Below are 26,365 nucleotides of genomic sequence, written 5' to 3'. Positions count from 1 at the left end.
ACTCTATTATTGTAAACCTTGAAGATGAGGTTAATTAAGTCCTGTTGTGGGGTTTGAGGGCTGGAATTTAATTTTTGGAGTTTTATTTAATGTCGGGAGCAGATTGGGTAATAAAATGTATATTGAGAATAAGACAGCCTTTTGACATTTTAGGGTCTAGGGCTGTAAAGCATCTCATGGTTGCTGCCAAATGAGCCATGAACTGGGCTGGGTTTTTATATTTGATGAAAAAGAGCCTAAATGTGCTCTGATTTGGTATAAAGAAAAAGGAACATTAACCTTGACTATGCCTTTAGCTCCAGCCACCTTTTTAAGAGGAAATTGCTGGGCAGGTGGGGGAGGGCTAGTCATGGAAGGAAACTGTAAGCCAGACTGGGTGTGAGGAGGGGAGGTGATAAAAGGATTATAGGGTGGAGGAGCAGAGGCTGAGGAAGAATTGGGACCTAGCTTGGCCTGGCGAGGAGGGAAGAGGTCAGATGTGTCTGTACAAAGGAAGATTAGAAAGACTCAGCGACGCTTGGGATTGGGACTGAGGGGACAGGTGGGAGGGAAAAATGGAAGATTTGGGATGAGTTGCATTGGGAACAGAGACTAGAGAGGGACCGATGTGTGAAAGAATACCTGGACGTCAGGCACCTCAGACCATTCGCCCATTTTACGGCAAGAATTATTTAGATCTTGTAGGATGGAAACATTGAAAGTGCAATTTTATGGCCATTTAGAGCCATTGTCAAGTTTGTATTGGGGCCAAGCGGTGTTGCAGAAGAAGATAAGGCATTTAGGTTTTAGGTCAGATGTGAGTTGAAGAGATTTTAAGTTTTTGAGAACACAGGCTAAGGGAGAAGAAGGAGGAATGGAGGGTGGAATGTTGCCCATAGTGAAGGACGCAAGCCCAGAAAAAAGAGAGAGTAGAGACACAGAGGGAAGGGGTTCGGGGGTTCTTACCCTCCAGAAAAGTGGGAAAGGGGTCGGGGCATGGAAATAAGGGATTGGGGAGCAGAGATAGGAGGTCGGGGAGTGGAAATAAGGGATGGGGCACAGAGATAAGAGGTGGGGGTGTGGAAATAAGGGATCGAGGCACAGAGATAAGAGGTCGGGGCACAGAAATAAGGTATCAGGGGTTTCTTGCCTCCCAGAAAAGCAGAGAAGGGGTAGAGACATGGAGAGAAGGGGTTGGAGTTCTTGCCCCTCCCCTAGAAAAGCGGGACTTGCTGCTAAGGGTGAAGGACCAAGGCAGGCATCCCTGCATGGTCAGACACCTCTGAAACATGGGTGAATAATCAGAGAGGCGTCCCTGCAATGATTAAACACCAAGGGAAGGCTGCCTTCCTAAGTCCGTGACCGGCGCCGGAGTTTTGGGTCCACAGATAAAACGCGTCTCCGTTCTCTACCAGAAAAGGAAAGGAACTGAAATTAAGAGAAGGGAGAGATTGAAGGGTGACGCCAAGATTGAAAGGAGAAAGTGGTTGAGGGATAGTGAGAGAGGTGGGAGAAGAGAATAAGAAGAGTCTGCTTATCCAACTTCAAATTGGTGAGATGTTCCTTGGGCTGGTGGGTCTGAGGACCCGAGGTCCTAGGTGGATCTTTTTCACAGAGCAAAGAGCAGGAGGACAGGGGTTTGATCTCCCAAGGGAGGTCCCCCGATCCGAGTCACAGCACCAAATTTCATGCATGTCCGTGTGAAGAGACCACCAAACAGACTTTGTGTGAGCAACAAGGCTGTTTATTTCACCTGGGTGCAGGTGGGCTTTGTCTGAAAAGAGAGTCAGCGAAGGGAGATAGGGGTGGGGCCATTTTATAAGATTTGGGTAGGTAAAGGAAAATTACAGTCAAAAGGGGGTTCTCTGGCGGGCAGGAGTGGGGGGTCACAAGGTGCTCAGTAGGGAAGTTTTTGAGCCAGGATGAGCCAGGAGAAGGAATTTCACAAGATAATGTCATCAGTTAAGGCAGGAACAGGCCATTTTCATTTCTTTTGTGGTGGAATGTCATTAGTTAAGGCAGGAACCTGCCATCTGGATGTGTACGTGCAGGTCACAGGGGATATGATGGCTTAGTTTGGGCTCAGAGGCCTGACAGTCATGGTTTCCTCATAGTTGTGATTTCCATTTCCCTGTTAGTAATGTTGAGCATCTTTTCATGCTAATTGACCATTTGTGAATCTTCCTTGGATAAATGTCTATCAAAGTCTTTTGCTCATTTTTAAGTCAGGTTGTTTATCTTCTCATTGTTTAATTTTAAAAGTTATTTCTATATTTTGGATACTAGTCACTTATCTGATATATGATTTGCAAATATTTTATCCCATTCTGTGGGCTGCCTTTTTACGGTGCTGATAGTGTCTTCTGATGCACTGTAAAATTTTTTTCATGAAGTTTGTCTATTTTTAGCTTTAGTGCTTGGGCCATTGGTGTCATATCCAAGAAAGCATTGCCAAATATAATATTACAAAACTTTTGTCTTATTTTCTTTTAGGGGGTTTATACATTTAGGTCTTACATTTAGGTCATAGATGCACTTTGAGTTAATTTTTGTATATGTTGTTGGGAAAGGGTTTAATCTCAAATTTTGCTTATAGATATCCAGTTTTCCCAGACTAGAGTCTTCCAGCTTTATTCCATTTTTTTTTCAGGATTATCTTGCCTATCCAGCATCTCTTTAAAATTCCATATTAATTTTAGAATGGGTATTTCTATTTCTGTAAATAATGCTTTTGAGATTTTGGTAGAGATTACATTAAGTCTATAGATTACTTTAAGTAATACTGTGGTTTAAATGTGTTACCCCAAATTCATATGTTGAAAACTTAATCTAAAATGTAACAGTGTTGGGAGGCGGAGCATTTTGGAAAGTGTTTAGGATATGAGGGCTTTGCCCTCAGAAATGAAGTACCATTGTTATAAAAGAGCTTGATGAAGGAAGATTGTCCCTTTTACTCCCCAGCCTTCCGCATCTGAGGATGTAGCCAAAAGGCTTCACCAGACACCAGAAGTTGACCCTTTGATTTTGGACTTCCTAGCCTCCAGAACTCTGAGAAAATAATTTTATATCTTTATAAATTACCCAATCTGTGGTATGCTAATATGACAGCTCAAAATGGATTAAAGCAAACATTATTGACATCTTAATATTGTCTTCCCAGTCTATGAAGACAGAATGTCTTTCAATTTATGTCTTCTTTCATTTATTTCAGATACATTTGGAACTTTTCATTATGCAAGTGTTTTACCTTCTTAATTGATTACTATTTTACTCTTTTTGATGTTATTACAGATATAATTTTAAAATATTTACTTATGAGAGTGTTGACAGTTTATAGAAATGCGACTGATTTTTTTCGTGTTGATTTTATATTTTACTACTTTGCTGAATTTTTTTATTCTAACTGGGCTTTTGTTTGTTTAATCTTTAGATTTTCTACATGTAAGATCATATCATCTGTTAACAGACATAATCTTATTTTTTCCTTTCTGATTTAAATGCCTTTTGTTATTATTATTATTTGCCAAATTGCTCTGACTAGAACTTCTATTATTATGCTGAATAGAAATGGTAAAAGCAAGCATTTTTGCCATGTTCCTTATCTTAGGGGAAAGGTTTCAGTTTTCAGCATTGAGTACGATACTTGCTGTGGGTTTTACATATATAGGTTTTGTTATATTTAGGTCATTTCCTTTTTTTCTCAGTTTGTTTAGTGTTTCTCTCATAAGATGGCATTGAATTTTGTCAAATGCTTTTTTCTGTATCAATGAAGATAGTCACATGTGTTTTTTTAATTATATTAATGTGATATATTACATTTATCCATTTTTATATGTTGAATGATCTTTGCATTCCAGAAATAAATTCCATTTGGTAATAGTGTGAATCTTTTTAATATGGCTTGCTAGAACTTTGTTGAGATTTTTTGTATCAATGTTTAAAAAGGTGACGAAGGTTTTTTTCTTGTAGTATCTTTGTCTACCTTTGGTATCAGGTTAATGCTGCTTCATAGAAAGTTAGTAACTGGTTTCCTTTTGGTTAGTTTTGTGTTTCCAAGAATTTGCCTATTATATCTAAGTTATTCAATTTGTGTAGACTTATAGTACGCTCTTATAATCCTTTTTATTTCTGTACAATTGGCAACCATGTTCCCACTTTCATTTCTTATTTTAGTAGGTTGAGTCTTTTTATTTTTAGTTCATCGAACTTAATACAATTAAAAATGTTAATGTGGTTCAGTTTTTCAAGGCAGAATCTTTTGGTATTATTGATTTTTTTTTACTATTTTTCTATTGCCAGTTTTATTTTATTTCTGCTGTAATCTTTATTTCCTGACTTCTGTTACCTTTGGGTTTGTTTGTTTCCTTTCTCTAGTTCGTTAAATTATAAAGTTGTTTTTGCTTTGAATGTTTCTTATTTTATAATGTAAGCATATATAGCTATAAATTTCTTCATTTGCACAGCTTTCTCTGTGTCTCATAAGTTTTGGCATATTGTGGTTTTATTTTCATTTTTCTCTATTTTCTAATTTCCCTTGTGATTTCTCATTTGATCCATTGATTGTGTAAGACTTTTTTGTTTAATTTCTGCAAATATATAATTTTTTTAGTTTCTCTCCAGTTACTGATTTCTCACTTCATTCTGTTGTGGTCAGAGAATATACTTTGTATGATATCCACCTTTTTAGACATGGGGAGGTTTAACTTGTGGCCTAACATGTAGTCTATCATGAAAATGTCCCAGGTACACTTGAGAAGAATGTATTTTCTGTTGTTGTTGGAAAATGTGTTCTGTATATGAGTTAGATCTGTTTGCCTTATTGCATTGTTCAAGTTCTCTATTTCCTTACTTATCTTTGGTCTGGTGGCTCTATCAAATATTGAGTGTAGGGTACTAAACTCTGTAGCTATTACTGTAGTATTGTTTATTTCTCCCTTCAATTCTGTAAATTTTTACTTCATATATTTTGATGGTCTGCTATTAGCTTTGTAAATTTATATAATTGTATTTTCTTGCTGTATTGCATCTTTTATTATTTATATAATGTTCTTTTTCTCTCTTGTAACTTTTTAAAAACTTAAGATCTATTTTGCTCGATGTTAGCCTAGCCAACCCTACTCTCTTTTTGATTACTATTTGCATGGCATATTCTTTTCCATCCTTTCACTTTCAACCTATTTGTATCTTTGGGTCTAATGTGAATTTCTTGTAGACAGCAAATAATTGGATAATTTTTAAAATCTATTTTGTCAATCTCTGTCTTTTGAATGGAGAATTTAGTCTATTTACAATTAAAGTAATTACTGATAAGGAGGGAATTACTTCTGTTATTTTGCTAATTGTTTTCTATATACCTTATAGCTTTTTGTCCCTCACTTCTTACATTACTGTCTTCTTTTGTGCCTAGTTAATTTTTTGTAATTAAACTTTTAAATTCCTTTCTTGTTTCTTTATGTGTAAATTCTTTACATATTTTCTTTGTAGTTAATATGAGGATTATACTCAAAATCCTAAAGTTGTAATACCCTTAAGTTAAATTTATGCCAGCTTAACTTATATAACTCTGCCCTTTTTATAGTTTTTAGTACAAAACTCTGCTCTTCTAACAGTTCTGTCCTCATTTCTTTCTGTTATTAATGCCACAAAACTTCATTGTTGTACATTGTGTGTCCAAAAACATAAACTATTAATTTTTAAATGTAAATGAATCGTAAATAGTATTGAAAGAGAAATATGCAATACTTACCTTTTAGACTAGTTTTTTAATGTGTTAGTCTCTTTAATTATGTAGACAACAAACAAAAATATGGTGCCACACATCATCATTATAATAATACTAGTTTTAATAATTGCCCATGTATTTACATTGACTGAGATCTTTATTTCTTCATATGACTTAGAGTTACTATCTAGTTTTCTTTCATTTCAAAATGCAAGACTCTCTTGAGCACATCTTGAACAGCAAGTCTAGCAGTGATAAACTCCCTTAGCTTTTGTTTATCTGGGAATGTCCTTATTTCTCTCTCACTTTTGAAGGATAGTTTTGCTGGATATGTGATTCTTGGATAACAGGGGTTTCTTTTGTTCGTTTTTTTGTTTTTTGCTGGACTTCTACTTTCTTACAAAAAAATCAACTGATGATCTTATTGAAGATCCTTTGTGTGTGATGTGTTACCTCTCTCTTGCTGCTTTTAAAATTCTCTCTTTGACTTTAGACAGCTTGATTATAATGTTTCTCAGTGTGATTCTCTTATAGTTCATTCTTTTTGGAGTGGGAGTTTATTGAGCTTCTTAGATGCTTATATCATGTCTTTCATTAAATTAGAAAAGTTTTCAGACATTATTTCTTTAAATATTATCTCTGCCCCTTTTACCCTCTGTTACCCTTCTGGCAATTCCATAACATCTATCTTGGTCTCCTTGAAGGTGTCCTACAGGTCATGTATGCTCTGATGCTCTGATCAGTTTTCTTCATCCATTTTTCTTTCTGTTTCTCAAATTTGACAATTTTTTTGTCCTATCTTTGAAATAGTTTTTTCGCTTGCTCAAATCTATCTCTAAAATATTCCAGTGGATTTTCATTTTCATTTTTATTTTCATTTTTCAGCTCCAGAATGTTTTTTCTGTGTGGTTTATGTTAGGTTTTATATCTCTTTAGACATTTTTTATTTGTTCATACATTTTGTTATTGACTATCTCTGTGTCATCTTTTGGTTCTTTGAGAATCTTTAAGGCTGTTGTCTTAAAGTCTTTTTCTAGTAGTTCTGTCATTAGGTCTTTTTTGGAGACAGTTTTTATGGATTTACTTTTTCTTTTGAGTGGGTCATACTCTCCTGTTTCAGTTTTTTATTAACCTTGAGATTTTTTTGGTGCTGTTTTTTGTTTTGTTTTGTTTTTGTTTCTTCATAGTTATAGGCTGTCTCTGTGTGAAAGATCAGTCTAAGTTGTAAGCTTAAGGTATTCTCAGGTCTTTTCTGAGCTTGGCCCTACCCCTGAGCATGCATGGTGACTTTCTAAATTTTCTTACATATGTAGTTGCTTTTGTATATTCTACTCTTCAATGTCTGACTCTCAAAAAAAGATGAAGAAAAAAATGAAATGAGGGGGATAGCATCAGTCCTTTAACTTCTCTGGAAATCACCTCAGCGAGAGCAGAAGAAGCTTGCAACAATGGGAAGAGATGTAAAAACAATGGTCACAGCCTCATTGTCTGGACTTCTGTGGTCAGAAGCAGCAATCGATTATCAAATCACAGTTACCTAGTACTTAAAGACTAGGGTTCTTTTGGCCCACTCCTTCCCCTTTAAGCTATCAGCAAGCTGCTCCAGGAACAAGTTAACATCTGCCCACCATGGGGTTGAGGGATGGGGAATGGGTAGCTGCTAATGTGCTAATAGCTGAAATCAGCTGAAATGAACAGCAATTTATGAAGCAAGGCTTCCTCTGGAAGTTTTAAGCCTTCAATAGACTTCAAAGTTCCAAAGTAGTTACTTTGGATATATTCTGCCATTGTAATTGTTGTCTAGGTATGGAGACAGATTCCTGCTGCTTCCTACTCTGCTACATTTCCAAAACATTCCTTTATGGTTTGATTTTTATTGCTGAAAAATTCTCCATATTGTATGTCCAACATATATTACCTATTCATTCTCCAAGTGATGGATACCCAGGAGGCTTCTAACTCTGTCAACACAAATAAACTGCAGTGAGTAGCTTCAAGCAAAATTACTTATAGAGCTGCGTGGAATATATATCTCAGAGAGAAATTTTAGGGTTACTAGAATGTATAAATCCATTAGTCAGCAGTGTATTAAGTCTCCTTTATCTGAACATCTGTCCATGTCTGGTGTTAGCTATCTTTCTAATTTCTGCCCTTTTCACTTATAACCACAATTGTATAAATTGAAAGAATCATTTGCTAAATAAAGCTGATCATGCATTCAAAATAACACATCTTGATCAAGTACAATGATCAGAGACTCCATCAGTAAAATTCACCACAACTTGACTAAATTTATAAAGATGAAAGAAGAAAAATCAATGGATACATTTAATTTAGAAAAAGAACATAATAAGCTTTAGCACCATTAATGGTTAAACAAATAAACAATAACAACAAAAACAAATAGGAAATAAATGGAAATGTTCTCGACTTGATGGACATTACATAATGAAACAAACTAATAAGCAAATAAAACAATTGATTGGCAAACTTTGGCCACACATCTTCTAGTATCATTAGCAAGACATGAATGCCTATCTCATCAGCAATAATATATGAAGCAAGGAAATGAAAAAAATAGGTATTAATATGTAAGTAAAGATATAATCCTTAAAGATGATTTTTTTCTACCTGTTAAAAAGTAATCAAATCAATAAACTGTTAGAATTTATAAGAGTTCAACGATGATTCCTGATACAATGTCACTCTTGCGAAATCAACGTTCTTTCTTTACACAAGAAATGAGCAACTAAAAATGTTTGAAAATAAAATATTACATAATATAGCAGAATACTAAGGTTCCTAGAAATTAAACTAACCAGAATCACTAGATTCCTATGGGCAAAACATTAAAACTCCAAACAGGACATAAAGAGTAATCTGAATAAATGGAAAAGCTTCCATGCTTTTAGACTGGATAACATTTTAAAGATATTAATTCTCTCCAGATTAAGATACAAATTTGATTCAAGCTCAATAGAAATTCTAATTATATGGTTTTAATGTACTTAGTAAACCTATTCCAAAACTTTAAGTTGACTAAAAATAGCTAAATTAACTATAAAAATAGTAAAAAGGGGAAGCTTGCCTCTACCAGATATCAAGACATATAGTAAGACTGTAGTAATATAAATAGCGTTTTATTGGTGTAAAAACAGGCAAATTGACTAATTTGATAATAAGTAGCTCTGGAACAGGCTCATTAGCATGTGACATCTAAATATATGATAAATTTGGCACACGAAATTAATGGGAAAAGGACAAATTATTTAGTAGACAGCAAGAGCACTACTGGTTCATTTTCATGTGAGAAATGAATCCAGATCTTTATCTAACACCACATATAAAACATTGAAATCTGGAAGGATTAACATCGTAAGTGTAAAACATAAAGCTATAAATTTAATGGGAGCTTTGCCCCGCGTTTAAAATTAAAAAAAAAAAAAGAATATCTAGAACAGAAATCAATCTTCTGCTGATTCAAAAGAACATTTCCTCCCCCAAATACACCAGGCTCAAGATACAAACAGGCAAGTTACAGAAAACTAAAGCAAATACGTGCATAACAAGATGATCAAAATTGTTCATAAACAGAGATGTACAAATTTAAACACAAAGAGATAGTACTGTGCACTGATAGAGTAGCTAACTATATCTTTCTAGACCATATAATTCCTCCTCCTTTTAGAGTTACAGAGGTCCCTGTATTAAAGTCCACCATTAATAAGTCGAATTTTAAGAAGAGCTCAGAGAGAGCTTTATAAGATATTTATTATAAAATCATTCCCCTTTAAAAATAAGCTCTCCCTCAGAAAATAGTTATTAAAGGGTCTCAATAGAAGGGCATGGGTATAATCATTAGAGTCAGTAACAAATGTTATTACTCTGGTCATCTCAGTGATACAAAAGAAACTGTGCTATTTAGCTGTGTGCTATGAAAGAATAAGTTATGGTTTGGTTTGTTAAAGTACATCATGTCTTCTTTATTTCTAATGCTGCACTTACCTCCATGAGCTGTGAACATTAAAGGTTCCTATTATAAGAAATAGTAAAACAAGTTTGATAATTGAAACCATTCCATTCAATTATTTAATTAGTATTCATCTATTCATTATGATATCTTTATTCTTCATATTGTCTGTAGTCAAAATGGACGGGAAGAATAGTCTTCTTCTTTGTCTTATCGGAGTTTTTAAATGCTCTCATTCTTTTCATAGATTTCATGAGTTCAGGGCTGCTTTGAGATTTACTTTTTTAGTCTCTAAAGCATTACTTCCAATGTATATTCTGTAAGATTCTTCTTTACAGGTTGACCACAAATAGTACATAATTGTGGTGGGTAATTTTATGTGCCATCTTGACCATGCTAAAAGATGCTCAGATAGCTGGTAAAACATTATTTCTGGGTGTGTCTGGGAGGGTGTTTCCAGAAGAAATTAGCATTTGAATGAGTATCTGCGAGAGAAGATCCACCCTCACCAATGTGGAAGGGCATCAACCAATACATTAAAGAGCTAAGCAGAACAAAAAGGTGAAGGAAGAGTAAATTTTCTTTCTCTTTTCTTGAACTGGAATATCTATCTTCTCCTGCCCTCAGACATTGGACCTCCTTGTTCTCAGGCCTTCAGAGCATGCCAATTTCTACAATAAATTCACTGATACACACACACACACTCACACACACACACAGCCTATTGATTGTGTTTTTTCTGGAGAGCCCTGACTAATATGAAAATCAAGATTCTTCTTTACAAGTTATTCACCAACAATAGAGGACTGCTCAATAAAAGAATTTCACTTCATTTCAACAATCTCGTTATCACTTATAGGATATTTTGTCACTCACACACACAACAACAATGAAATCTAACCTTGGTATTGCAAAACTCATAAATTTAAAAATACTCTTTAGCAATTTGTGTAGGAGGTTTGTGGCCTTTATTGGGAAGAATAACACCAAGCCTTTGTTTAGCTGTCAATCAAGGGAACAATTAATGTGAACGCTAGCCAGTCTATTGTTCTCCTTCACAGGCCAACAGTCTTTCAGTGAATATCACAAAAGGAATGCACAGGTGATTAAACACCAAGTTTCACACACATATGATCCTGAGCTCTTCTGGTGTGATTATTTCCCCAGAAGCCTCATAAAACAGTTTTGAATTACCTCTTCCACTATCCAGGTGAAATTTCCTCCAGTTGAATATACTAACTCCTATCCCTTCAGCTAATTGGTTGAGTACCCAGATGACTCTACTTGGAGAAGAAAGACAAGATATTATTGTACACACCACTTTCAATGGGGGAAACACCTTGGGAAGTGTTACTGCAGCTTACTTTTAGAGAAATGGGTAGAACTTGGCCAGTTAGCAAAGGGAAAGGCAAATGCAAGCTGCAGAGGTTGAGGGAGATAAATCTAAAGGGTCTGGCAAGAGGAGGTGTTCCAATAGAAATTGGGTCACAGATGATGTGACAATTGTACAAGAATGTAACAAACCATTCATATAGTGGTTGGTTGTACATATTGAAACAATCAGTGGACTCTTGTATGCATTTAGTCTGCTTAGTTCAATAATGTATACAGTTGACCCTTGAACAATGTGGATTTGAACTGTGCTGGTACATTTAGATGTGGATTTTCTTCTGTCTCTGCCACCCCCGAAACAGCACGACCAACACCTCCTCTTCTCCGTCCTTTGCAGCCTACTCACTGTGAAGACAATGAGGGTGAAAACCTTCATGATGATCCACTTCCACTTCATGAACAGGAAATATGTTTTTTCTCTTCCTTATGATTTTTTAAAAACATTTTCTTTTCTCTTGCATGCTTGATTGTAAGAGTGCAGTACATATTATATATATATAATATACAAAATATGTGTTAATCAGCTATGTGTTAGCCAACTATGTTATTAATGTAAGACTTTTTATGATTTTCTATATAACATTTTCTTTTTTCTAGCTTACTTTATTATAGGAATACAGTATACAGTACGTACAACATGCAAAATCAGTGTTAATCAACAGTTTATGTTATTGGCAAGGCTTCAGGTCAATAGTAGGCTATTTGTAGTTAAGTTTTCTAGTTAAAGTTGTATGTGGATTTTCACCCGCTTGGGGGTTCGGCACCCCTAAGCTCTGTTTTGCTCAAGGTCAACTGTATAATTTTTCAGCCTTGGCCCATTGGCAAATGGACAGAAACATTTGTAAACTTTGCAACTACAAAGAAAAGTACAGTTTGGGGGCAATAAAAAGTTAAAATTTCTTTTGGATATTGATAGAAACTTCAAAGAAAGATGATGCAAGACTATGAATACAAATAAGTTTTAAAAATCATGTCAAAGATGATTCCTTTTATTGTTCTTAGAACACTGTAATGTATAGAATAAACTCAGTTTTAAATGTATTTGGAAATGTTTTTGGGTTTTATGTCATGTCAATGTCTACATAGAAAAATGTCCTTTTTGTTGTTTAAGTTAAACTTTAAGTGTAAAGAGCTGAGCTAGTCATCTTAAGAACACTGACATAATCTATCCCTGCAGGTAACAGTGGAGTTTAATTCACCTTTTCCCCCAAATCTTTGGTGTCCAGTCCCATTCTCTAGTTCAAAGATAACCAATATAAAGCGCTCAATATATGCCCTTAAATATTATTAATAGTATGTTCTTATAAGATAACAACTTAGTTTTTATATGTGTGTTTTAATTCACATAAATTATATTATGTTGTAACCTATCTTTTTTCTAACTCAATACTTTTGTTGTGATCTACCCATGTAACTATGAACATCTAGTTTGTGTTCCCTACTGATGCCCACAGTGTGTTAGTGAACAACCATCACTTACTTATTTCCTTAAAGATTAGCTTTGATTGACTTCAGTTCCTTGACACCAAAAATAACACTGAAAAACAGGCTTGTATATGATCCCTTACAAACATTTGCAAGAATTGTTCTGGTTTATACACATGGGAAAATTGCTTACATGCCTCCCAGAATGGTTGTTACACTTTACTTTCCATCAACAGTGCATACAATTTCCTATCTCTTAAAGTCCTGACAACAAATGATAGTCTCAATATTTCTATTTTTTGCCATTCCAATCGGTGTAAAGTAGTATCTCGTTGTTTTAATGTTTATTCCTGTGATTTCCGATGAGCTCAAGCATATCTTTGTATACTCTTCAGACACCTGTGCTGCCATTTCTGCAAATTGCCTGGTCACTCTGCCTATTTTTTCTACTATAGTTTTCTGCTTTATTTTGCTAATTTGGAATTGAGGCATATCTCAGAAATTAATTTCTCTTTAATTTTAAATATTAAAGATATATTTTCCCAACACATCACTCATTTGTTAACACTGCCTAAGGTATTGTCTCAAATAAAGACCCAAAAATGTATATAATTATTTCATTTGATGATTTTGTGCATTGGAATCTTGTTTAACTAGCTTTTCACCACTTTTAAGTCATTAGGATATTCTTGTACAAGGCATTCTATTATACAGGTACCGTTTGAAGTATTTCACACGCCCTAGCATGTTTAGGTCTAGGAACTACCTCCAAGCAAATAAGATCGCTGTTGTTGTTGTCCCCATTTTACAGATGAGAAAACTGAAGCATCAACAAATTAAATAACTTGCCCAAAATTACATAGTTTGGATGTGAAAGAATCTATGTTTGAACTCAGGTTACCTGGGCTCAAGAATTCATGCTCTTATAGTTAGGTTTTTAATACCTCTAGTGTCCACTTTTTCAAGTTAACAATATTAACTTCTTTCTTTCCTTCCTTCAATTTTTCTTTCTTTATCCCTCCCTCCCTCCCTTCCTTCCTTCTACTACCACATAAGCCCCTGCCGTATGCTGAATATAAATTAGTAGTTATAGTTGTTATTTAAGCCATAAGCCTAGATGAGGTCACCAAGAGAGAGTGACACTAGATAGGGCAGGGAACACCAAGGCCTCTGCCCTGGGATATTCAACATTAAGGTGGGGCCAAAAAGGAAATACCGGAAGAGGAGGCTGAGAAGGAGCAACCAATAATGTAGCAAGAAAATCAAAAGTCTTAAATTTCCTGGAAGCTCAGTGAAGAAAATGTTTCCAGAGGGAGGAGTGATCAACTGCGTTAAATGTTGCAGAGGATTCTAAGTGAGTTCTCAGAACTAACTGCTGGGTGCAGCATTAATAACCTGTACAAGAGCAGCCTTGCTGGATGATAGGAGCTTAAGAGAATGGGGAAAAGAAGAGTTGAAATCATAGAGCAGAAACCATGGGTTGTTTGTTTGTTTTTTGAGACGGAGTCTCCTTCTGTCGCCCAGGCTGGAGTGCAGTGGCGCCATCTCGGCTCACTGCAACCTCCGCCTCCAGGTTTCAAGTGATTCTCCTGCCTCAGCCTGCCGAGTAGCTGGGACTACAGGCGTGTGCCACCACTCCCTGCTAATTTTTTTGTATTTTTAGTAGAGACGGGGTTTCACCGTGTTAGCCAGGATGGTCTCTATCTCCTGACCTCATGATCCACCCGCCTCGGCCTCCCAAAATGCTGGGATTACAGGTGTGAGCCATTGAGCCCAGCCCATACCAGGTTTTTTTTTAAAGGATTTCTTCAAAAGAGAATGAAGAAAGAGGGTAGCAGCTGGAAAGGGAAGTAGCATCAAAACAGTTAGGAAACTAGTTCACTGCTATCTATCTAATTATACCACAATTTATTCAACCATTCTCTGTTGATGGCTATTTTGTTGATGGTAATAATGTCATAATGAAGATACTTATACATAAAAACTTATAATATAATATAAATCATGTTTTTCCTACCAGCCAGTCATCTCAATACTTACCCACATATACTTATAGATGACAGTGTTTTGTTATTTCTATGGGCCAGATTTGCAGGTGATATGGTTTGGCTGTGTCCCCACCCAAATCTCATTTAAAATTGTAGCTCCTATAATTCCCATATGTCATGGGAGTAACCCGGTAGGAGGTAATGGAATCATGGGGGCGGGTCTTTCCAGTGCCGTTCTCGTGATAGTGAATAAATCTTACAAGATCTGGTGGTTTTATAAAGCGGAGTTCCCCTGCACACACTTTCTTGCCTGCTGACATTTAAGTCATCCCTTTGCTCTTCCTTTGCCTTCTGCCATGATTGTGAGGCCTCCCCAGCCATGTGGAACTGTGAGTCCATTAAACCGCCTTTCCTTTATAAATTACCCAATCTCAGGTATATGTTTATTAGCAGCATGAGAACAGACTAATAACAGCAGGTATTGGATTTCTGAATAGAATTGCATAAGTATCTTACATTTCTTAGGTATCAATGTATTGAGATATATATATGTATATGTATATATATATAAAATATACAACATAATTTACATATAAGTTACATTTCCACCAGAAATATTCATGTATATCTTTCTCTGGAATACTCACTGTCAAGAAAAACACATCCGTGGATTGTGCTCTTTGGTGCAAAAGTGTCAATCATGATCAAGTAAACTTACAGCAAGTGCTTGATTTGATCTTCAAAATGAATGTGTGATGCTCATTATTCTATGATCCCCAGTTTACAGATCCAGAGAGAGAAAGATGCTTGTACAGAAGCACACAGCTAGGAGTGGTAGAACTATCTTCAAAACCAAGTCATCTGAGTTTAGATTCATTTCTCATCCTTTAATTTTCTACTGTCTTATTTGTTACTGGCTCTATTCATGGACGCTTCTCAGTCCCTCCCACTGGGAATAGAGCAAACCCTTTGAGGTTGGGCTGATATCTGTGACACCCTCCATGTAAAGACCTGGCTGCACAGCCTGCTGTCTGCCCTTCTTCCCCAGGCTCCAGGTCCCCTTGGCCCTGAGTGACTGTCTTCCCACTCTGAGGCCCCAGGAATCTCAGCACATATTACACATTCCTCCAGCAAAATCAGTCCACTGGCAGGTACCCAGGGACACACAGTTACACACAAGCCTCCCCCAGCTGACTGGACTTTCTCCAATTGTGGTCAGAAACAGCCACAAAGACAGACATCAGTGCAGGTTCTGGAGACTGGATGAAAAGCATTTTGGGTTGGGTGGGTGGAACCACAGGCATTCTGTACAGACGGCGACCAGTGACCTCTGCTCCAGCATGCTAAGAAAAACAGAACATAGTAAAAAGCAAAAGGATTCTCTCATCTCCCTGCCCTATGTTCTTCTCCCTCAGAAATGCATTGCTGATAATCTTGAGTCTAAGATTGTTAGTTAATCACTAGATAACACTGATAGTTACAGCTATTGCTTATTTTGGAAATCAACAAATAATAAGTTATGGGCATCTCACATTCATTATCTTCCAGCTTCAGGAAACCTTTCAAATGTAGGCTTGATTATTTCTGATTCAGAAATGTTGAGTAACATACTCAGGATTACACACTTAGCAGGGGCAGAATCAGCATTGAGACTCAGACCTACTTTCCTGGTGTCAACTCTTAATAGGTTTCTACTGTAACGCATTGCATTCATCACAAAGTTAATAATGATAAAAGAAATTTGTGAGTATTTGATATGAGTTGGGCACAGTGTTGAGTAATTCACATAATTTTTTCAGTTATTCTGATAATTCTAATTGTATCAATTCTTTCCTCCACTATGATTTGTTTTAAATACTACTTTCTTGAATAGATGAAGGAAACAAATCTTAGATATCTAAGCAATTTTCCCAAAGTCCTAGGACTAGTGAGGTCTATAGATAAATTTGAAATTAGGTATATATGACTCTGGAGCCCCACATCTTGATTTTCTTGTTTCCCAAATACATATATAGTCTCTACCATCTCTGTGGTTTTCTGGAGTTCCCAACAGCAATTCAAAATAATATCTTTCTCAAAGTTCAGGAAATATTTAAGATTTAATAAGGGATTGAATTATCAAATGTATTTTCAAATGAATAAATGGTTTTTGCCTTCAGGAAGCTGTTACTAAGACTTATTTTTAGAGCTATAAGCTTTCTGTTTAGTTTCTCTTTGGATAACCTCAAAGTGCCTAGTTTAATGTTAGAACGTACAAGTTAATAAATAAATATTCTTATGGAAGTAATTGGTTAATTTAAATCTCAACTCTTAAGAACAACTTTCAGTCATACTATAGAGGAGGATGCCTGCTGTTATTTAACGAATGGCCCCTCCCTCTGTTCCTATTCCCCACCTTCAATAATGACCACAGCTGTCAGTTTAGCTGAGCCAGTCAGAATAAGAGGTTAAAATCATTATCTCCATGATAGAACCTCTAACTCCAGCCAGAATCAATGACTTCCTAGAAATGGAGGAAGAGTTCATAAAAAAAAAAAAACTTCTTGTGTTCCTTAACTAGATTTCTTGGACCCAGGCCAAGCCAATAAAGGATGGATAGGGACACATATGCTATTTATAACACAGTGCATGTGGAATCCTCATTTCCTGGAAATGCATATTAAATCATTAACAATTCTAAGACTTCAGGTGATGCTGTAAAACAAATTAATACAGCATAGGCATACAGACACCCCCAAGTGTGTACATGTGTGTAACACACACACACACACCATATTTCTCATTAGGAAAATGAACTCTTCAAAGTTTTTGTATTAACTTTGTCTTTTGTTTTCTGTATGCTAATGCTTTAACATCTGGGGCCTTGGTTACCTTGGTAACCCTAGAGGGCCTGCCCCTGCCAGAGCTAGCCAATTTCTAGAGCCCAGGAGCATGCCTTTCAAAGGCAAGCAAACCAATTCAGAGCCCACACCCCATCACACTCCTTGCCATTATCCACCTGCCTTGATTACCTAAGGGCCAGGTACCTGTGAACTAGGGATAGTGCCTACAACCCGGAGCCCACTGAAATTATTCAAACAAGCCAATCCTACACCTGCTTACCCTGCCTTGTCTGTTTCTTCCTACAGAAATCTTACTAGAGGCTTTTGTCCATAGTTCCTCCTCTCCCTCTGCCTCTTGACTGACCCTAGTATTTCCCCTGTATGGTTTCACCTGCTACAGCATGCCAGCTCCTCTTGGGATCTGTAACAAACTGTCTTCCCAATGGCAATCCTCTCCTGATCTGTTGACCTTGACATTCCTAAATATTCATAAAATCTATATTAAAACACCTCTGGACACATTCTTCTGGACATTATTTTCCCAACAAGAATGCAAGGGCTGGCATCATTAAAGAAGCATAAATTTTCCAAGGTATTCGAGAGTGTCAGCAAAGGCAAGGGAGATCACTCACTCTTACCTTTGGATGATATGATAATACAAGGACACACATGTCAGCGGTCACTCCTACTGATGAAAGGAAAAGGTGCACTAATCGCAAAAGACCTCTGCTATGGCTGCTCTAAATGTGCAGGCCCTGTAAATTCAAGGTTCTTGGCACTCTCTGTGGCATGTATGACTACATTATTGATTTAGGTTTGCAAGACTGTGGGAAGTATCCACAAGTTTCTTGCTCCATTGCTTCAAGAGCTAACTGGCTAAGCTTTCTTCAGCATGAGTAGCAATATAGTAAGACTTCTAGGTAATTATGCCTTTTCTATTAAAGATAATGCTTTGCCAATTTAGGAAACAATTTAATTTAACTAGCCAAGAATTGCTAAGTACTTATAGCAAAGTTTAAAGAAACACCAATACTTAGATACAAATTAAAAGGCCTCTTGACTGCCCTGCATGTATTGTCAGTAGCTGCTTCATCATAATCAGAATGTTCTCAAGAGTCAAAAAAAAACATCCCCGACCCCATGTTTTGGAATTAAAGGGCCACCAGTACTTAGCTCCCTGAACAAAGGTAGTGTCAAAAGGTGGTAATAATCAAGTGTGGTGATTAAATCGTGAGCTCTAGCATCACCTGGACATGGGCTTGATGACTACCTCCTAACTGTGTGATCTTGGGCAACATAATTAACCTTTCTGAGCCTTAACATATTTATCTAAAACTGGGGATAAAAAGAGCATCCACTTTAAAACATTGTTGTAATAATTAAATAAGTTAGTACATGTGTTTAGCGTATTGCCTGGCTCGGTCATGGGCACTATACAAGTTTGCTATCAATAGATATCCCCAACAACTGGTTAGATACTTCAAATAAATGAAGACTGGATGCATCACAGGTTTTCTTAGTTTCTTTCAAGGTACTTTCTCCTCATTTGGTGTGTTATTTTCAACAGCACAAGCCTTATATTTTTATTCTCTATTCAAGAGAAATTTGACTCCAGCAGAATTAGGTACTACCTCATGTATATTAACAGGAGAATTCATAACTTTCCCACGTGTGTTTAAAGTCCTATAAAAGGCTTTTAAAAAATAGAAGTAGAGAGGAGGAGCCAAGATGGCCGAATAGGAACAGCTCCGGTCTACAGCTCCCAGCGTGAGCGACGCAGAAGACGGGTGATTTCTGCATTTCCATCTGAGGTACCGGGTTCATCTCACTAGGGAGTGCCAGACAGTGGGCGCAGGTCAGTGGGTGTGCGCAATGTGCGCGAGCCGAAGCAGGGCGAGGCATTGCCTCACTCGGGAAGCGCAAGGGGTCAGGGAGTTCCCTTTCCGAGTCAAAGGAAGGGGTGACGGAGGCACCTGGAAAATCGGGTCACTCCCACCCGAATATTGCGCTTTTCAGACCGGCTTAAAAAACAGCGCACCATGAGACTATATCCCACGCCTGGCTTGGAGGGTCCTACGCCCACGGAATCTCGCTGATTGCTACCACAGCAGTCTGAGATCAAACTGCAAGGCGGCAGCGAGGCTGGGGGAGGGGCACCCGCCATTGCCCAGGCTTGCTTAGGTAAACAAAGCAGCCAGGAAGCTCGAACTGGGTGGAGCCCACCACAGCTCAAGGAGGCCTGCCTGCCTCTGTAGGCTCCACCTCTGGGGGGCAGGGCACAGACAAACAAAAAGACAGCAGTAACCTCTGCAGACTTAAATGTCCCTGTCTGACAGCTTTGAAGAGAGCAGTGGTTCTCCCAGCACGCAGCTGGAGATCTGAGAATGGGCAGACTGCCTCCTCAAGTGGGTCCCTGACCCCTGACCCCCGAGCAGCCTAACTGGGAGGCACCCCCCAGCAGGGGCACACTGACACCTCACACTGCAGGGTATTCCAACAGACCTGCAGCTGAGGGTCCTGTCTGTTAGAAGGAAAACTAACAAACAGAAAGGACATCCACACTGAAAACCCATCTGTACATCACCATCATCAAAGACCAAAAGTAGATAAAACCACAAAGATGGGGAAAAAACAGAACAGAAAAACTGGAAACTCTAAAACGCAGAGCGCCTCTCCTCCTCCAAAGGAACACAGTTCCTCACCAGCAACGGAACAAAGCTGGATGGAGAATGATTTTGACGAGCTGAGAGAAGAAGGCTTCAGACGATCAAATTACTCTGAGCTACGGGAGGACATTCAAACCAAAGGCAAAGAAGTTGACAACTTTGAAAAAAATTTAGAAGAATGTATAACTAGAACAACCAATACAGAGAAGTGCTTAAAGGAGCTAATGGAGCTGAAAACCAAGGCTCGAGAACTACGTGAAGAATGCAGAAGACTCAGGAGCCAATGCGATCAACTGGAAGAAAGGGTATCAGCGATGGAAGATGAAATGAATGAAATGAAGTGAGAAGGGAAGTTTAGAGAAAAAAGAATAAAAAGAAATGAGCAAAGCCTCCAAGAAATCAAGAAATATGGGACTATGTGAAAAGACCAAATCTACGTCTGATTGGTGTACCTGAAAGTGATGGGGAGAATGGAACCAAGTTGGAAAACACTCTGCAGGATATTATCCAGGAGAACTTCCCCAATCTAGCAAGGCAGGCCAACATTCAGATTCAGGAAATACAGAGAACGCCACAAAGATACTCCTCGAGAAGAGCAACTCCAAGACACATAATTCTCAGATTCACCAAAGTTGAAATGAAGGAAAAAATGTTAAGGGCAGCCAGAGAGAAAGGTCGGGTTACCCTCAAAGGGAAGCCCATCAGACTAACAGCAGATCTCTCGGCAGAAACCCTACAAGCCAGAAGAGAGTGGGGGCCAATATTCAACATTCTTAAAGAAAAGAATTTTCAACCCAGAACTTCATATCCAGCCTAACTAAGCTTCATAAGTGAAGGAGAAATAAAATCCTTTACAGACAAGCAAATGCTGAGAGATTTTGTCACCACCAGGCCTGCCCTAAAATAGCTCCTGAAGGAAGCGCTAAACATGGAAAGGAAAAACCGGTACCAGCCGCTGCAAAATCATGCCAAAATGTAAAGACCATCAAGACTAGGAAGAAACTGCATCAACTAACGAGCAAAATCACCAGCTAACATCATAATGACAGGATCAAATTCACACATAACAATATTAACTTTAAATGTAAATGGACTAAATTCTCCAATTAAAAGACACAGACTGGCAAGTTGGATAAAGAGTCAAGACCCATCAGTGTGCTGTATTCAGGAAACCCATCTCATGTGCAGAGACACACATAGGCTCAAAATAAAAGGATGGAGGAAGATCTACCAAGCAAATGGAAAACAAAGAAAGGCAGGGGTTGCAATCCTAGTCTCTGATAAAACAGACTTTAAACCAACAAAGATCAAAAGAGACAAAGAAGGCCTTTACATAATGGTAAAGGGATCAATTCAACAAGAGGAGCTAACTATCCTAAATATATATGCACCCAATACAGGAGCACCCAGATTCGTAAAGCAAGTCCTGAGTGACCTACAAAGAGACTTAGACTCCCACACATTAATAATGGGAGACTTTAACACCCCACTGTCAACATTAGACAGATCAACGAGACAGAAAGTCAACAAGGATACCCAGGAATTGAACTCAGCTCTGCACCAAGCGGACCTAATAGACATCTACAGAACTCTCCACCCCAAATCAACAGAATATACATTTTTTTCAGCACCACACCACACCTATTCCAAAATTGACCACATACTTGGAAGTAAAGCTCTCCTCAGCAAATGTAAAAGAACAGAAATTATAACAAACTATCTCTCAGACCACAGTGCAATCAAACTAGAACTCAGGATTAAGAATCTCACTTATGCCACTCAACTACATGGAAACTGAACAACCTGCTCCTGAATGACTACTGGGTACATAACGAAATGAAGGCAGAAATAAAGATGTTCTTTGAAACCAACGAGAACAAAGACACAACATACCAGAATCTCTGGGATGCATTCAAAGCAGTGTGTAGAGGGAAATTTATAGCCTAAATGCCCACAAGAGAAAGCAGGAAAGATCCAAAATTGACACCCTAACATCACAATTAAAAGAACTAGAAAAGCAAGAACAAACACATTCAAAAGCTAGCAGAAGGCAAGAAATAACTAAAATCAGAGCAGAACTGAAGGAAATAGAGACACAAAAAACCCTTCAAAAAATCAATGAATCCAGGAGCTGGTTTTTTGAAAGGATCAACAAAATTGATAGATCGCTAGCAAGACTAATAAAGAAAAAGAGAAGAATCAAATAGACACAATAAAAAATGATAAAGGGGATATCACCACCGATCCCTCAGACATACAAACTACCATTAGAGAATACTACAAACACCTCTATGCAAATAAACTAGAAAATCTAGAAGAAACGGATAAATTCCTGGACACAAACACTCTCCCAAGACTAAACCAGGAAGAAGTTGAATCTCTGAATAGACCAATAGCAGGAGCTGAAATTGTGGCAATAATCAATAGTTTACCAACCAAAAAGAGTCCAGAACCAGATGGATTCACAGCCGAATTCTACCAGAGGTACCAGGAGGAACTGGTACCATTCCTTCTGAAACTACTCCAATCCATAGAAAAAGAGGGAATCCTCCCTAACTCATTTTATGAGGCCAGCATCATTCTGATACCAAAGCCAGGCAGAGACACAACCAAAAAAGAGAATTTTAGACCAATATCCTTGATGAACATTGATGCAAAAATCCTCAATAAAATACTGGCAAACCGAATCCAGCAGCACATCAAGAAGCTTATCCACCATGATCAAGTGGGCTTCATCCCTGGGATGCAAGGCTGGTTCAATATAAGCAAATCAATAAATGTAATCCAGCATATAAACAGAGCCAAAGACAAAAACCACATGATTATCTCAATAGATGCAGAAAAAGCCTTTGACAAAATTCAACAACCCTTCATGCTAAAAACTCTCAATAAATTAGGTATTGATGGGACGTATTTCAAAATAATAAGAGCTATCTATGACAAACCCACAGCCAATATCATACTGAATGGGCAAAAACTGGAAGCATTCCCTTTGAAAACTGGCACAAGACAGGGATGCCCTCTCTCACCGCTCCTATTCAACATAGTGTTGGAAGTTCTGGCCAGGGCAATCAGGCAGGAGAAGAAAATAAAGGGTATTCAATTAGGAAAAGAAGAAGTCAAATTGTCCCTGTTTACAGACGACATGATTGTTTATCTAGAAAACCCCATCGTCTCAGCCCAAAATCTCCTTAAGCTGATAAGCAACTTCAGCAAAGTCTCAGGATACAAAATCAATGTACAAAAATGACAAGCATTCTTATACACCAACAACAGACAAACAGAGAGCCAAATCATGAGTGAATTCCCATTCACAATTGCTTCAAAGGGAATAAAATACCTAGGAATCCAACTTACAAGGTATGTGAAGGACCTCTTCAAGAAGAACTACAAACCACTGCTCAATGAAATAAAAGAGGATACAAACAAATGGAAGAACATTCCATGCTCATGGGTAGGAAGAATCAATATTGTGAAAATGGCCATACTGCCCAAGGTAATTTACAGATTCAATGCCATCCCCATCAAGCTACCAATGACTTTCTTCACAGAACTGGAAAAAACTACTTTAAAGTTCATATGGAACCAAAAAAGAGCCCGCATTGCCAAGTCAATCCTAAGCCAAAAGAACAAAGCTGGAGGCATCACACTACCTGACTTCAAACTATACTACAAGTCTACAGTAACCAAAACAGCATGGTACTGGTACCAAAACAGAGATATAGATCAATGGAACAGAACAGAGACCTCAGAAATAATGCCGCATACCTACAACTATCTGATCTTTGACAAACCTGAGAAAAACAAGCAATGGGGAAAGGATTCCCTATTTAATAAATGGTGCTGGGAAAACTGGCTAGCCATATGTAGAAAGCTGAAACTGGATCCCTTCCTTACACCTTGTACAAAAATCAATTCAAGATGGATTAAAGATTTAAACATTAGACCTAAAACCATAAAAACCCTAGAAGAAAACCTAGGCATTACCATTCAGGACATAGGCGTGGGCAAGGACTTCATGTCCAAAACACCAAAAGCAATGGCAACAAAAGCCAAAATTGACAAATGGGATCTAATTAAACTAAAGAGCTTCTGCACAGCAAAAGAAACTACCATCAGAGTGAACAGGCAACCTACAACATGGGAGAAAATTTTCTCAACCTACTCATCTGACAAAGGGCTAATATCCAGAATCTACAATGAACTCAAACAAATTTACAAGAAAAAAACAAACAACCCCATCAACAAGTGGGCGAAGGACATGAACAGACACTTCTCAAAAGAAGACATTTATGCAGCCAAAAAATACATGAAAAAATGCTCATCATCACTGGCCATCAGAGAAATGCAAATCAAAACCACTATGAGATATCATCTCACACCAGTTAGAATGGCAATCATTAAAAAGTCAGGAAACAACAGGTGCTGGAGAGGATATGGAGAAATAGGAACACTTTTACACTGTTGGTGGGACTGTAAACTAGTTCAACCATTGTGGAAGTCAGTGTGGCGATTCCTCAGGGATCTAGAACTAGAAATACCATTTGACCCAGCCATCCCATTACTGGGTATATACCCAAAGGATTATAAATCATGCTGCTATAAAGACACATGCACATGTATGTTTATTGCGGCATTATTCACAATAGCAAAGACTTGGAACCAACCCACGTGTCCAACAATGATAGACTGGATTAAGAAAATGTGGCACATATACACCATGGAATACTATGCAGCCATAAAAAATGATGAGTTCATGTCCTTTGTAGGGACATGGATGAAATTGGAAACCATCATTCTCAGTAAACTATCGCAAGAACAAAAAACCAAACACCGCATATTCTCACTCATAGGTGGGAATTGAACAATGAGATCACATGGACACAGGAAGGGGAATATCACAGTCTGGGGACTGTGGTGGGGTGGGGGGAGGGGGGTGGGATAGTATTGGGAGATATACCTAATGCTAGATGATGAGTTAGTGGGTGCAGCGCACCAGCATGGCACATGTATACATATGTAACTAACCTGCACAATGTGCACATGTACCCTAAAACTTAAAGTATAATAAAAAAAAAAAAGAAGGAAATTTACCTACTGGCTCAATTTCTTCTTAATGCTTCAAACCTCAATTTTTTACTGTAATTTTATTTCTGCTGATTATTAATTAACTCCCAGCATTAGTCAGGTCATTGGAAGACAGTTTATTAAATAGCTAGGTCTCACCCCCCCACCTTTGGAACACTACATACCATTAAATAGAACAGTTTTTAAGTAGACATGCACTGTGGTTTTCTTACATCTTTCTCCAAAGCCTTCGAAAATTATTATTAGTGTCATTCAAGTTGGGAAACTTAGTCATATTTTCTAAACCTTATGGCTGTGTCCCAGAATGAGAAAGGACAGAGAATAAGTCTTCAACAGCTGGGAGAGGTTTTGTGGATTTCATAGTGGTTGGGAGCTACTAACAAGGAAATATTACACATGGCCTTTGGCAGGAACATATTATAAAATCCAGAGCCTTTTGTTAAGGGCTGAGTAGGGTATTATTCATAATTGTTATTTAATTTGGTCTTCTTCCCATCTTCCTTCTAACAGAAGGCTTTTCTGCCTTGAAAAATTACACCATTTAAAGATGCCCTATGTCTGTGATTATATGCTATATAACCTGGCAAATATTCTTCAAATAAAAGCCCACAAGTCCAGTAAAATTTGCAGTAGCAGATGACATTTTCACCAAAGAACAGAGCCAGTTTTTCACGAAGGTAGAAGAAGGACCCACCCCCACTTGACTATCTTGTTTATTTGACTGACTTCATTAATCCCTGGAGCTTCCTGATAACTCCAGGAAAGCATCCAAACTCATCTCTGTCTGGCTCCTTCTTGTGTCACCAGCCCCATCTCGTACCATTTCTCTGCCCCACAAACACTAAACTCCAGCCATGTGTACCTTTAATGTTTCAGTTTCTACAGCTGACAAGTGTCGTTGAGTAGCTAATGACATGTAGTAATAGGTAAATTTATTGACGCACTAATTTTAATCATGCATACTTCAGGCTGGTGAGCTTAAGGGAGTCATTATGCTGCTGAATGAAACTAGCTGCCTGCCCGGCATTTGCTTTTCAATAGCATTTTGCCATTCTTCTGTTTATTTCTATATATGCTCTTTATAGGATGTGTTAGTTATTTACTGCCACAAAATCCTGTGCTATGAACAACCACACCCCTCAGTGGCATACTGCAATCAATGTTTATTTTGCTCCTGTGTCTGCTCAGAGGACTCCAGTCCTCTGAGGAGAGGAGTATTTGTTGATGCTACCTGGGCTTTCCCATAGTGCGTATTCAGCCATGAGTTGTCTGGTAGTTCTGCTGCTCTTGTCTAGACTTCTGGATTTACAGGC

General features: G+C 37.8%; 5 annotated features.

The window, feature by feature from the left end:
• Window positions 16,984–17,184: a silencer, noted in NCBI's record as "peak7171 fragment used in MPRA reporter construct". NCBI's record gives its function as "represses an SCP1 promoter by STARR-seq MPRAs in K562 erythroleukemia cells {active_cell/tissue: K562}" and the evidence as "EXISTENCE:reporter gene assay evidence [ECO:0000049][PMID:32103011]".
• Window positions 18,687–19,295: an enhancer, noted in NCBI's record as "H3K27ac-H3K4me1 hESC enhancer chr8:129909485-129910093 (GRCh37/hg19 assembly coordinates)". NCBI's record gives its function as "activates a minimal SCP1, AML or CMV promoter by ChIP-STARR-seq in naive H9 embryonic stem cells {active_cell/tissue: H9 hESC(naive)}" and the evidence as "EXISTENCE:reporter gene assay evidence [ECO:0000049][PMID:30033119]".
• Window positions 18,687–20,040: a biological region, named in NCBI's record as "BRD4-independent group 4 enhancer GRCh37_chr8:129908740-129909939".
• Window positions 18,841–20,040: an enhancer, noted in NCBI's record as "BRD4-independent group 4 enhancer chr8:129908740-129909939 (GRCh37/hg19 assembly coordinates)". NCBI's record gives its function as "activates an origin of replication core promoter dependent on BRD2, P300/CBP, MED14 and CDK7 cofactors, and independent of BRD4, by STARR-seq in HCT116 cells {active_cell/tissue: HCT116}" and the evidence as "EXISTENCE:reporter gene assay evidence [ECO:0000049][PMID:35650434]".
• Window positions 19,296–19,906: an enhancer, noted in NCBI's record as "H3K27ac-H3K4me1 hESC enhancer chr8:129908874-129909484 (GRCh37/hg19 assembly coordinates)". NCBI's record gives its function as "activates a minimal SCP1, AML or CMV promoter by ChIP-STARR-seq in naive H9 embryonic stem cells {active_cell/tissue: H9 hESC(naive)}" and the evidence as "EXISTENCE:reporter gene assay evidence [ECO:0000049][PMID:30033119]".

Source organism: Homo sapiens, chromosome 8, assembly GCF_000001405.40.
Source record: "Homo sapiens chromosome 8, GRCh38.p14 Primary Assembly".
NCBI classification, from domain to species: Eukaryota; Metazoa; Chordata; class Mammalia; order Primates; family Hominidae; genus Homo; species Homo sapiens.
Note: the sequence above shows the minus strand (reverse complement) of the source record. Positions and strands in the feature narration are given on the sequence as shown.